The sequence below is a fragment of the Homo sapiens genome, chromosome 5 (assembly GCF_000001405.40).
Source record: "Homo sapiens chromosome 5, GRCh38.p14 Primary Assembly".
Lineage (NCBI taxonomy): Eukaryota > Metazoa > Chordata > Mammalia > Primates > Hominidae > Homo > Homo sapiens.
This window is the reverse complement of record NC_000005.10, coordinates 148,302,661-148,316,727: the sequence shown is the minus strand read 5'-3', so window position 1 is coordinate 148,316,727 and position 14,067 is coordinate 148,302,661. Positions and strand designations below refer to the sequence as shown.

At 38.3% G+C, this 14,067-nt stretch overlaps 1 protein-coding gene, 1 long non-coding RNA gene and 1 pseudogene across 2 annotated transcripts in view; 1 reads left to right on the top strand and 2 right to left on the bottom strand.

Annotated features, from left to right (window-relative positions):
* FBXO38-DT (FBXO38 divergent transcript) overlaps positions 1-14,067 on the top strand; it is a 115,544-nt gene that overhangs the window by 67,123 nt on the left and 34,354 nt on the right. The window contains exon 3 of the long non-coding RNA NR_105057.1: positions 8,563-8,724. This is a non-coding gene — a long non-coding RNA (FBXO38 divergent transcript). The remainder of the gene's footprint in view (positions 1-8,562; positions 8,725-14,067) is intronic.
* SPINK7 (serine peptidase inhibitor Kazal type 7) lies at positions 809-4,305 on the bottom strand. Its single transcript, NM_032566.3, has 4 exons — positions 4,184-4,305; positions 3,329-3,354; positions 2,504-2,628; positions 809-1,089 (listed from the first exon to the last, which is right to left on the bottom strand). The coding sequence occupies exons 1-4, from the start codon at positions 4,242-4,244 to the stop codon at positions 1,044-1,046; spliced, it is 258 nt and encodes an 85-aa protein (NP_115955.1). The 5' UTR covers positions 4,245-4,305; the 3' UTR covers positions 809-1,043.
* Positions 8,478-9,017, bottom strand: PGBD4P3 (piggyBac transposable element derived 4 pseudogene 3; annotated as a pseudogene).

The window sequence follows — 14,067 nt, the reverse complement described above, 5'->3', positions numbered from 1 at the left end:
AAAAAAAAAATTTTGGTGATTAGTCTATTTTTGGACAACATACTAACATATTTTAAGATGGACAATGCCTAATTGTAACAGATCCAAGGAGTATGGTCCAGGATAGAAATATTATAAGGGAAATAACACTTGAGAAAAAAGGGTTGAATTAACCAGAGATTTTTATCCTGGAGAAAATAAATTTCAATGGAGACAGAATATTCATTTTTAAATAATGAAAATTCTGTTAATTGGCAAAAAGGGTGAACTTCTTTGTTATATAGTCTCACTGGCGCTGATGGTTGATAGCCTCATGAATGTAGTCTTCAATTCTAGACAAGTAGAACATCTCAACAATCAGATCTCTACAACAATGGACATGCTTCCTGTTGAAGCAGTGGCTTTCCCATCAGCACTCTAGAAGAGCTGGCCTATGAGAAATTGTGGTATGTTTCTGGAAAGGAATAGGAAGAAAAACTTCCCTTCCAGAAATGACTTCTTGGAACAAGAGAGGTTCTCTTTTAAGGGTCTTTTAAAAAAAGAGACCAATGTAAAGCAACAGTATAGTACATAGACTTGTCGCTAGTGGATAAAGACTCCAGGAGAAGGTGTGGTGTTCACTGGCATTTGTGTGTGTGTGTATGTCTATGTATCGTGTGTGTGTGTTTGTGTGTGTGGTGTGCATGTGTTTCTTGGAAGCTGATTGGGATTCTTTGTATAAAAGTATTTCCTAAACATCAAGACTTGTGTGTTTTTCAATTTTCTTTTATAATTGTGTTATTTTATACCCCGATCTAAGAAACAAACACAAACAGAAGCAAAGATAAACTTTCTGGGAGATTATTTTTTTATTGACGTGTTAAAAAAAAAATGCTGGTCTGTCAGTGAGGCATGGGTTTGTAGGGGTAGCACAGAAACTTTCTCCATTCAGTCAAGATTACTCTGAATCTGGCTCTGTCCCCCACCCAGAACATCAGTAAAACTGAAAGAAACTCAGTCAGAGCCTGGGATGATGAAGATGATGATGAGAATATCATTCCTTTCTCTCTATGTCCATGGAGAATTTAGCAACTTCCATCGTGAAGAAACTGAACTCTTCCATTACTTTTCCTAAGGGAAGACACAGTTCACAAGATTCATTAGCACAAGAGGAAATTTTATGTAATGTTAGAGCTGAAAGGAACTATAGAGATTATGAGGCAGCACCTCATTTTACAGATAAGGAAACTGAGTCTCAGAAAATGAATGACCTTGCCAAAGCACATTCTGACAGAGGAAGAAGCAGAATTTCCCTAGTCCAGTGATAATTCCACCCCTCTGCTGCCTCCTCTGATTCCAGAGCCCCACTGACCACCCAGTGTCTTAACACAACAAAGAAAGAGTACTCTGACAAAATTGAGAGGGCCTGTCTCTCAGCTTTTCCTGGTCAGCAAGTCCTTTGACGAAGCTGGATCCTGCATTAGTGAGGAGGACTTTCATCATGTTTCTCTCCAGTGTCCCTTGAAAACAGCTAGTTTCCTGGCCAAGGGCTAGTTTCCCAGTCTGCCTATGTTACAGAATTTTCCCTTTTGTGAAATAAAACCTCCCAAATAGGAATAAATACATAGACATGTCCTTTTGGGCTAAGGGCTTGTTGTTCTCACTTGTTAAGATAATCACAAAGATGAAAACGCAAGATCTAAGTGTCCAAAATCCAGTGGCCTAAAAGAGTTAACGATGATCACAGCAGACTTGCTATGAGACAGTTAAGTGTAATTTGCATGTCTTGTACCAAAGAAGTGACATCTGCCTAGCTACATTTCTGCAAAAACATTTTGTGGGCCAAAGAAAATACCTAAACAAAACATGTCCGTGGTATTCTGGTCCAAATACTGACAGCTTGCATCCCTTATTTTAGATAAAGGAAAAGTAATCATTTTTGTAGCCTTATTCCCCCCTTAAAGCTACAGATACTTAGAGCCTCTAGAAATTCGAAGATAAAGAACCTCTAGGGACACTTTGTCTAAGAATCAAGCTGCAGTGAGGATGTTAATTATCTTAGAATCTAAGTCAGGTAGTGTAGTAGTTTTCAATTATTTTATGGGGGGTGGGGATTCAGGGCCCTTTCTTCAAGCATGATATTGTATGGCACTCCACTACTTAAAATAGTCAAAGCTGAACTTTATGTTGTCAACTACCCCAAATAGTCCCTTTAACCCTAATGGTGACTCCTGACTTGCCTCTATAGAACCTCTGTGCTCTGGGGACAGCAGTTTGAGAATCCACAGCCTTACTGGATTCTCACAATTGACAGACAGGAACTGGAGGTTCTGTGATGGGATGGGACTAGTCCAAGCTGGCAGAGCAGGTGACTCTACCCTGTCTGATTGTGCAACAGTCAGTTTTCTATCCCCACCTGCTGTTCTGGGTGGGAATAATTATAAATTACAGCTTATAGAGATTTAAGCTGGATCCTGGAAAGTAGAAGCGTTTGTAGTAGAGAGCACTGACTCCAGATCTCATTTTCTTCTTATGAGGTACTCACAAGCTCTCGGTACACAAGTGACATTCATTCCCATAGGTGATGTAGTCAGAACCACAAACTGGTAGGTATGTGATGGGGCAGGGGATGGCCACCACTGGATACTTCTTGTAAATGCTGCAGTCCACCTGTGTCATATACAAGCAAATGTCCTGTTTTTCTCCCAGACCCCAAGCTAGGCCACTATTAGATATACTACAAGGGCTGGAAGTCCCAGCTCAGATATTCAGATGTTGCTTGGCCACTTCTTTAAGTACTAGTGTTATCACTATGACAAATACTAGCACTACTGGTATTCTATTTTTTTCTGCTACACTCAGTTAACAATTGCTGGGCATTTCTGGGCTAGGCGTTAAACTTAAATCTTGCATGAATTTTCTTGTTTAATCTTCAGAACAACTAGAGTAAATTCTACTATTACCTCTCTTTACAAATGTGAAAATTAAAGCTTAGAAATAGAGATAACTTGTTGAAGATAAATGCTGGTAAGTAGTAGAGTTAGGATTTGAATCTAGAGCCTGTGCAATTTATCAGGGTACTTTTGCTCTGCCTTTTACACGTTATGCCTTTTATGAAAACATCACCAACTTCTCAGCTGGAAGGCGGTTCTCCCTTCTTTAACTCTGGCATTTTTAAAAAACATTTTTAAAATATGGTTGTTTATATGTATGTCATATTTGTTTAGTTGCCTTCTGGAGAACAGGTACCATTTCTCCATGTGTGTTTGCCTCCCTCTCGAATCCCCCTAAACATAATTTATCCTACATATATGTTGACTAAATGACAGTCAATAGTTATTGACATTAAAATGTTATTCAACATACTTACTTTTTTTGGAGACAGACTAGCAGCTTCTGAAAAAGAGATACAGATGAAGATGTTAAAAGTAAAGCAAACTTTAAATCTCATTAATTAATATAAGTTTCATCCTATATAATTACTCTACATTTCCTTTAGCAATGAGATTCAGCACACTCTCCATCCTTATGCAAAATCCTAGTTGTTTGCTGAGGAAGTTGAATGGCCAATGGGTTAGGTTAACCCTTGGTTTAGGTAAGAGAATTATAAAAATTTCCTCTATTTATTGATCATGGAATGTTTTCTGAACCTCATAGTGTTTTTGATAATGGCCAAAGTCAAGTAGCAATAAGAAGTATTAAAATCATCACTCCTAAGAGCCTGAAGGATCATCTCTGATATCCTTTCCTTCCCAATTGACATAAAGAAATGCAATTGAATGTCTTTATGTGGTTGGAAACACTTTAATTAATTTTTCACAGTATAAAAGTCTAATTGTTGACCCTTGGCTTTTTGAGACTTGTGTTTTATTTTAATCCCCCCAAACTGATTTGGGAAGACATCCAAGTTTTTCTGTATCTTTGCACTAAGAAATGGTATATCTAATAACACTGACAACTTCCAGTGTCCATATGAACATAGAAATGGAAGACTTACAGAGAAATTAGATCATTTTTTGTTCTATGGATGCAAATAAGAATCCTTGAAAGTGAAGACATTGGACTCAAGTCTCTCAAACTCCAGATGGAACATAAGATCCTATTACAAACCAGTACACTTTAAATTCTTACAACCAGATGTTTCTGAGATGCTCACATCGCAGGAGGGATTATTTATGAAAACAATCTTAATGGCTATATAGGGCACTGTCTGACCTTAACTTACCTGAGCTGCTACAGAAATAGACCACTGTACAGAGCAGAAGGAGACCCCCAGTGATCTTCATGCTGGAAATGGCTGTGGTGTAGAAGCTGCTCTGAGATTGTCACTACAGCTGCATCGACCATATCCCAGGTAAGGGGTCATGTTTATATATATGCAAGGCTTGGTTTCTCCGCCTTTCCTGTGAGGTCATCCAGAGGATCTCAAAGCACGGTGCCACACCCTGGGCTGTGTTACAGTCCTTGTTACTGAACTGCCACTTCTTATCTGACCAATGATTTGATTATTTGAGGTAAGAAGTATTTTCTATCTTCCCCAAAGGTGGGACTGTTAAGAATTCTAAACTTCATGAACTAGAAGAGACTAAGTATGAGCTTCTTGACTTAGTTATGAAATAAGTGAAAATCTCAAACCTCCTTTATTTTACGAAACTGGAATCTATTAAACCCCGATTAGACTGATTACACCTACGTTTATATCTTGGCACCTGGGGAAATATTGTTTATTTTTGAGGCAATGAACCAATGAAGCAAACTGGGACCTAATGGAAGGAACACTGACATTAGCATTTATGAGGTATGGAGAAAAGCACTAACATAATACTTCTGATATTTTCTACCTGTATAATCTTGGATAAGTCGTTATATGCTGTGAGCCTTTATCAATCCAAAAGGCTTGGTTATGTCGTGATAACATGTAACCACAAGATTTCTGTGAATTAAAACAAAACTTTGTTTCTTACTCAAGCTACACTTGTATGGTAGTCAGCTGTTCATGCTACATTGCCTTCACTGTGGATGCCAAGTGGGCAGAGTCATCACTATTTGGAACACTGTAGTCAAGGTGAAGTGAAGTTGAGTTCGTTCTCAAGGAGTTCTCATTTTAGCAATTAAAACTTCCAGCCCAGAGCAATACTGCTGTCACTTCCCCTCATGGTCTCGTGGCCATCACATGCTTTGTTATGTATGGAGTGAGTGCAATCAATCTGATGTGGTTTAGCTGTGTCTCCACCCAAATCCCATCTTGAATTGTAGCTCCCATAATTCCCATATGTTGTGGGAGGGACCTGGTGGGAGATAATTGAATCATGGAGGCAGTTTCCCCCATACTGTTCTCATGGAAGTGAATAAGTCTCACAAGATCTGATGGTTTTATAAGGGGTTTCCCCTTGCACTTGGCTCTCATTCTCTCTTGCCTGCTGCCATGTAAGACATGCCATTCACTTTCTGCCATGATTGTGAGGCCTCTTCAGCCATGTGGAACTGTGAGCCCATTAAACTTCTTTTTCTTTATAAATTACCCAATCTTGGGTATGTCTTTATCAGCAGCTTGAAAACAGATTAATACACAGTCTTACCTTGTCCTGACCTGTTCCCTGACCTGAAGGTTGGATGAAGAACTAGAATAGTTGGCAAACAACAGAGACCATCCCAGAGACTGAGTTTCATCCCAGTCCAATAGGGCCTGTTGTTAGCCACAATAGAGTTCACATAATTGGAATCATATACATAAAAGTCTGCTCTAAAGCACAGTGCATTTAATAATATTATTGTGATTGTTATTATTATTTACAAACCAAGAGTTAATGCTATGAGTTGCTGACATTAGATTGTAAACTGTATTGTCCATGCACAACTGTCCAAATAGCTGCAGTTTGCTTATTGAGTTTAAGGACATATGTATGAAGACCTGGGGGAAGGCAGTAGACTGTCCCACTAGTTTACTGCTTGGCAGGTTTATTTTAGTACATTCTAAAACTAGCATCTACAAGACATATTAAGTGACTAATAAATGATATTGCATAATCTCTAATATTTTACTCCTATATCTGTTTGGGAGGCAATGTAATCTAGTAGTTAAGAGCATGGGCATTGAGTAGATCCCATTTAGAATCTTTCTTCTAAAAAATGTTGACTGTGTGTCTTTTAGTATTTAGGTTAACATCTGATACTTTAGTGTCTTCATCCTTATGACAGAAATAATATTTACCTCATAGGTTGTTTTGAGTGTTAAATTAGATTTTACAGACACACACTCTCTCACACACACACATTATACATTCAACTCTTGAACAACATGGCGTCCGGGGTGCTGACACCACCACAGTTGAAAAATTAACATACAATTTTTTTATTTTTCAATAATTTAACTATTAATATCCTTAATATCCTACTGTTGACCTTATTAATAACATAAACAGTTAATCTACACGTTTTGTATGTTACATGTATTATACACTGTATTCCTACAACAAAGTAAGCTAGAAAAAAGAAAATGTTATTAAGAAAATTGTAAGGAAGATAAAATATATTTACATTAATTAAGTGGAAATGGATCATCATAAAAGTTTTCATCTTTGTTGTCCTCATCTTGAGTAGACTAAGGAGAAGAAGAAAGAGGAAAAGTTGATTTTACTGTCTCAGGAGTGGCAGAGGTAGAAGAAAATCTATGTATAAGTCAACATGTGCAGTTCAGACCAATTTTATTCAAGGGTCAACTGTGCATATAATCTCTTATGGATGCATGTCTGTGAGGTGTCTGTGTGGTATGCTTGTGTGGTTTGTATGTATTTGTGTATTAGGGCACCAAGCTCATAATTAGATCTTGATATATGGTAGCTAATAATATGGAATGTGCTCTTTATAACAACTCATTAAGGAAGGAGTTTTTGTTACCCTAGTTTTGCCAGTGAGTAAGTTAAGACTCAGAGGATTTAAGTAATCTCCCAAGGATCATGATACAATTAATGGAGGAAACTGCTGAGTTCAGTCAAGGAAAAGAAGCAAAGTGAAGGTTCCAATAAGGAGAGGTAATTGTAGGTTTCATTGTTTGCCATGAATGTTTGAAAAGAATGAATCCTAAGAAAAAGCCATTGTGTTTCAAGATGAGGTATCTTTATTGCAGTTTGAAAATGTGCTTTTATCAAAGAGGAGTGGGAATAGGGTCAAAGGGTGGTCAAAATGGTGGTAAAAGATAGGATCACAGATTTTTTTTTAAATTTTTGATAGTCAAAGGAGGAATGGAAGAAGCTGAGGCTACAGAAAGATCTAGGATAGACTGAGCATGTCTTAAAACCAAAGAGAAGAAGAAATTTTACATACATGGTAGAGAGTGGCTAATTAGATGCATGTAGAAAGATAGAAAATAAGGTTAAGAGCACAGATGAAAAACCATTTTCTCTGACACATGAGAGAGAGAAGAGTGGATAAATGTAGAGACAGGCATATTTTGAAGGGTAAGGAAGGAGAGATGGGGGAAGCCCACTGTAAGGTAGGCTCTAGTTGTTCAGTGCTGGTTTGCTTTTTTGCACTGGGAGAACTGGGTTCGTTTGGGAGCTTGAGACAGATGATAGAAGACTTGGCAGCATGTCAGATAGTCAGCAATGGATCTAAAGATTAATGGCCACTGGACAAGTTAGAACTAGATTTTAGAAGGCCCAATTAGTACTATTCCTCGTATTTCTCCCAAAGTTTGTGCGACACAGAGTGAGAAATGGGGAACAGTGATTTTATAGATAGGGAATGGATACATCAGAGGCTTGAAGATACCATAAAGACTGCATTAGGAGGTGGCAAAGCTTGAAAGAGAGTTAAATGTTCCAGAAGTTTCTGATGGGCTACACAAGGTACAGGCATTTAAGTGTTTAGAGATCAAGGTTTAGGCAAAATGTGGTAGGTATAGGAAATAAGAACAATTGTTTATTGAGACAGGGCTAGGAATCAAGTTGTCGGATACTATTTCTCAGGGGTGGGGCTGAGATAATGATCCTCAGGGTGTATCCAGTGGGTGGAGATAAACGTCTCTCGATTGAAAAGGATGAGGAAAGGTGAGGTCAAGGGATCAGGAGAGGGGTTGGTTTGGGTTTTGGAAGCCATTTACATAGAGAGGAAATTTTCCAGCCAGATACTGAGGCACAAATTATGGAGGAGGCTTTTAAAATGAGAGTCAAAGCCTGTGAAGATAAAAGCAGTCCATTTCAGGATAGTTTTTTCATTTATCCTTATAGTTCTCCAAGGAGAAAATCTTGAGGCCTTGTAAGAGAGAATAACTATGGTCCTGGTTTCATCATGAAGAAGGCAGAATAAAATTAGCTCTTTTCCCATTTAGAAAAAAAAAGTGCAGCTTGCTGCCGGCATTCATTTATTTTTACATAAACATGCTCTTTGAGGCTGAAGTAAATCTAATTTTCAATGTGAAAATAAAATACAAAAACTGTTCTTGGAGTTATTTCTAAACAGAACTTATCTCTAATCCTAATGTAACAGAAATGTAAATGATGATCAGTATTTAGTAGTTTTTTTTTAATTTGGTAAATTTCAAAGCACAGAACAACACAAAGCAGAACATCATATTATACACAAAAATATTCCGTTTCTCTCCAGATCTTGCTATGCTTGTCATTGTGTAAGCAGCAAACTTGCAGTGACCAGTTGGATTCCACCCCCCTGATGTTGGTGGTGTGCTCTTGGGGAGATGTCTTCCAGACAGGCAAAGAAGAGTGACATCATCAGAGCATGGACGACCTCAAAGATATTCCAGCTATGGTCTGTGATATTTTTCCAGCATTCTTTCAATCGATGTCAGTCTGAAGTTTACATGGCTAATTGTGTGCTCAGGATTGTCCTTCTTGAACAGGATGTAGGAGTCCAGCACTGTAATTTTTAGAAGGTAGTGAAATAATTTCTTATACCAAACATTTGATCTCAGTTGGTTAAGAAGTGAGCATCTGATCAGCCAAATCCACCGCTCCCATATTCTTGTTATAATCCACAATGGCACATGGCTCCTTAGTTTTCTTTCCATTTCTGCTGTCTACTTCAATCACAGTATCATGGTTGATATGGTTTGGCTCTGTGTCCCCACCCAAATTTCATCTCGAATTGTAATTTCCATGTGTTGGAGGAGGGGCCTGGTAGGAGGTGATTGGATCATGGGGGCAGATTTCCCCTTGCTGTTCTCATGATAGTGAGTGAGTTCCCATGAGATCTGATGGTTTAAAAGTGTATGGCACTTCCCCCCTCCCCCTCTCTCTGGCCACCATTAGAAGAAGGTACTTGCTTCCCCTTTGCCTTCCGCCATGATTGTAAGTTTTCTGAAGCCTCCCAGTCATGCTTCCTGTTAAGCCTGCATAACTGTGGTCAATTAAACCTCTTTTCTTCATAAATTACCCAGTATCAGGTAGTTCTTTATAGCATTGTGAGAATGGACTAAGACAATTGTGGAATGTTGACAGCATTGTCACCTCCTTCTTCTTGGGGTAAATGCTGCAGCCACAAGTGCTACCAGCGAGTATTCTCAGGGCAAATGGGAAAAGGTTTGGAAGAAAAGCATAAAAAATTAATATAAAAAATTGAGAGTATTGGGGATTTATTCCCTTATAGATTTGGGGTGTCACAAGGAAGAGTGGGATAACTCATTAGAGGGTTAGAGAAGGGTGAGGGAATTAAATTGGAGCAAGGTCTGTATGAAGAGTTTTTGGGTTAGTTAGCTGGAGGGAAATAGGGAAGCCAGCACTGTAGCTGTGCAGGAATCCAGGTATAGAATAGTGGCGTTAAGGATGGACTGTTATAATAAGAAAATTAACCATATATTCAGCACTTATGAAGTGCTAGAACTGCACTACACCTGCTGTGTGCATTATCTCATTTCATACTTAAAACAATCTTAGGAAATAGGAATGGCTATTCTCCCTGCTATTTAGCTGCAATAATGGGAACTTAAGAGATATGACTAGTTTAAGGTAAAGAGCTTAAAGATTCTTTTTAATCACTCCTGTGTATTACCTTTAAATCTAAACCTAAAAGGTAGATTTGTAAACTCATTGGACACTGAAATAATAGGAGTGTAACTGGCAGAATCAGAGTAGTCAGGAAGGACAGCTAAGTTTTGAGTGAGCAGCAGAGGGAGCTGAACACTGGGCCAGAGTGTGTGACATTTTCATCTGTGAGGATCATCTGGAAAGAGGGTTCACTCCAGTGGAGAGAGGGGAGGACTGAGAGCCAGGATCCAAGGGTTCCTATCCTGTCCCCCATCCCCATCTATCTAGGGAGCAACGCTGTGACAATCCCTTCTCCAATGTGAGCTCTCTACTTCCTCTAAATCTAGTAAGATTAGCCTAGATTGGTAGTTCACATTTTCGAGTTAAAAAGCCATCCATGGTACACTAATTTATACAGTAAATAAGGCTGAGGAGTGAGGCTAGGTGGGAAGGGGAGGGTGGAACTTTATTAATTGATTCTGGTTTTCCCTCCTCATTGCTTCACCAGCACCTCTCACCCACCCCCACCAGGGTGCCTTTCTTCTTGACATCCAGCAAACAAACCACTGAACACTCTCAAGCGGTCTTTTGACAGTTTAAAAATCACTGGCTTAGATTTGTCTCTTCTTCTTTCCCTTTATGGCCCCTTCACATCCCAACTCTTTTCTTTTTTATTTTTCAAGATAGCCCTGATTATGATCATGTCCTTGTGACCACTGAGGGCACAGTGACCTAGGAATCTGGATATTTGCATTTTGACTTTGTGTCTGGCAAGACTTTGCTCCCTGCATCTCATGAGAGCAGGGAGTTAGCACATCCAGGGATCTTATGCTTTGAATACCTTCACTTCTTTTTGGGCCATTGAGACTAAATAGCTCCAATCATGGAACAAGGTGATTTGGATGAACAGTAACAACTATTTTTTTTTCTTAATTTATGTTGTTCCTAGGGGACCTCACAGTATCTGGATGAAGACTCTTTACGCACACGTGCACATGAGCACATGCACACAGACACACACACACACACACACAGCTCCCAGCTCCAATTGGTAAAAATCATGTTTACTAGGAAGGAGCAGAGCATGATGGCAGAGTAGGATTCTCCAGTGATTGTCCCTGAACAGAAAAATTGATTTGTAACAATTACCCATACAGGAAAAATCTTGACAAGAGCTAAATAAACCAGGTAAGAGTACCTAGTTTAAAAATAATAAGAAGAAAATATACATTGAAGAGGGTAGAAAAGACAGTTTTATATTACCCACAACCCCCTCCTCTAACCCCAGGCAGCACAGCTTGGAGAGAGATAGATACTTGCTTGGGAGAAGGCCAGGGAAGCAAGTGTAGGACATTGCCTATACCAGAGGCTAGAGTTATTAGGAAGAAGGTGGAGATGGGGTGACATTGGTCAAAGGAGACATAATTACAGTTAGGAGAAATACATTTCAGCAGAACTATTATACAGCAGGGTGACTAGAGTTAATGATGATATATTCATTTTTATTCTGAAAAAATGTCAAGAAAGTGGATGTTATGTGCTCTTGCCACAAAAATGATAACTATTAGTGGTAATGCATTTGTTAGTTAGCTAGGTTTAACCATTCTTCAGTGTAAATGTACTTCAAAACATCAGATTGTACAAGATAAAAATATGTAATGTTATCTGTCAATTTAAAAAAACATTTAAAAATAAATAAATAATCATGTTTCCTGTGCTCAGTGCTGAAAAGATACCTGTAACCTCAGAGTTAGCCAACAGCAGGAAATGTATTAGTCTGTAGGGATGCCGTAACAAAATGTCACAAACTGAGGAGCTTAAACAGCAGAAATTTTTTCACTTCTAGAATCCAAAATCAAAATGCCAGCAGGTCTGGTTTCTCCCGAGGCCTCTCCCTGTAGCTTGCAGACAGTCTGTCTTCTCACTGTGTGTTCATCTGGTATTTTCTCTGTGTACATGCCCCTGATGTCTCTTCCTTTTCTTATAAGGACTCCAGTTCTATTGGATTAGAGTCCCTCTCTTATGACCTCATTCAACCTTAATTACTATCCTAAAGCCATATTTCAAAATATAGTCACATTGGAGATGTTAAATCAAGTTTAGTCTAAAGCTGCCTCCCTACATATTTTAAGTTCAGTCTAAAGGTTTCTCTGTACATCGTGAACTATTACAAGTGGAGGTGTAAACAGACCATAGCCTACACTTGTGGCAATCACTGAGTTTTGGCCAATCAAATGTAGCCAACTGTTCGAATTGTGTTCAAATAAGGCAAAGGCTGAGCCATCACCAATCCAGCTGTTTATGCACCTCACTGTCATTTTCTGTACATCACTTTACTTTTTCTGTCTATAAATTTTCTTCCACCACATGACTGCGCCGGAGTCTCAGAGCCTACTCTTGCTAGGGAGGCTGCCAATTTGCAAATCATTCATTTCTCAGTTAAACTCAACTTCTTTAAATGTAATTCAGATGAAGTTTTTCTTTTTTTCTTTTTTTTTTAAATCAGAGATCAACATATACATTTTGAGGACACAAAATTCAGTCCATGACGTTCTACCCCCAGACCCTCAATATGCATATTCTTTTCACATGTGGAGAACTATAGACTTTTGATCTTCAAGACCCTGGTATTTCATAAAATGTTAATAAGTGTTTCTTGAAAATAAGATTCCCTGATCAACCAGACATGGGAAACTCTGGGTACTCCATTTCTTTTTGAGGAATTCACAATACATTTTATTTTATTAAAGGTTCAATTACATTTTTTTGCAATATGGAAAGTTTTCACTTTATTTAACTCAATTTTTCCAAAACTTAACTGGCTACAGTTTATTTATCATGTTATAGAACACTTACTAACATCTAAAAGGTGCCAGTGTTTTCTTGAACAATAAAAAAAAAATAAGGATTTACTCCAATTTTCCAGACTCATCACCAAAGAAGGTCACTGAATTTTTGGTCTTTTTCGACTGCTCAGGAGTTCTTTATCACATTGAACAGAGCTCCACTGGGATGTGGCCTCCAACATTCTAGTTCTCAACAATGGAGCCCAACATAACAAGTCTGCACCCTCTTTTCAAGTATAGCCCTTCAGACCTGCAAAGGCAGTTCTAGAGTGCCCTGTCAAGGTCTTTTTTTCTCCAGATGATTAGATCTCTTAATATTTCCCCTTATAGTACATAGTCATAATTATAAGTCCTCCCTATGCTGACATATTAATACAAGTTTGCTTAATAAAAATGAAATACCAAGTAATAACCAATTTTACTATTTCCCTTCTCTGTTCCAGGCAGTGTTCCCCACACTAGAGATACAGAGTTGAAAAAGACACACAGGATCCCTACTTCATGAAGCTTACTTTATTGTAGAGTAAGAAAAAAAAAAAATCAAGAAAATATAATAAGATGATTTCAGATCCTGACAAGTATCTTAAAAATATGTATCATGATATTGAGATAGGAGGTAACATGGAAATGGGGGATGAATTGGATCGGGTGACTAGGGAATACTTCTCAGAGAAGGTGATATTTGAAGGACACCTTAATTATGAGGAGCCAGTCTGGGAGTGCAAAAAGCTCAGGTAGTGAAGAGGGAATAGCTGGTGTGGTAACACATTAAAGGATTCTGTTTTCTTCAGTTCCAGCATTATATAAAATGGCTGTTTTTTCCTTAAAACATTCAATTTGGAAATCAAGCAAGTTGTAGCCTGTATCTTCTGTAACTAGGCAAAATGTCTTATACTGAATTCTACATGGCATTGAGTTGAAAACTTCTTCCATCTAGTTTCTTTTTTAAATCACCTTTTCTTTTTCGTTGGTTCTCTCTTCTTATTTTTTATTGCAAGTGTTCCTTCCAGTGATTTCAGCTGGAGTCTCTGTCCAGGAGTTTATAGTCTCAAACTTCCATTCAACATCTATCTATTCAATTCCTATTATATGCCTCACTTTTTATCATATGACTTTTAATTCATTTTTACGACAGCATTCATTACTGACATACTGACTATACGACATCACCTATTTATTTATTTGTATACTATTTGTATTTCACCGCTTGAATTCAGCTTCCACAAGACCAGGCTCTTGCCTGTTTTTAATTTGCCTGTCTAGCACCTCACACAATGCAATGC

Coding starts and splice junctions, on each gene's coding strand:
- SPINK7 (NM_032566.3), bottom strand. CDS start 4,244: ATGAAGATCACTGGGGGTCTCCTTCTGCTCTGTACAGTGGTCTATTTC. Junction 2,629..3,328: donor CTAGTCTGTCTCCAAAAAAA/GTAAGTATGTTG, acceptor TATATGACACAG/GTGGACTGCAGCATTTACAA. Junction 1,090..2,503: donor CACTTGTGTACCGAGAGCTT/GTGAGTACCTCA, acceptor GTCTTCCCTTAG/GAAAAGTAATGGAAGAGTTC.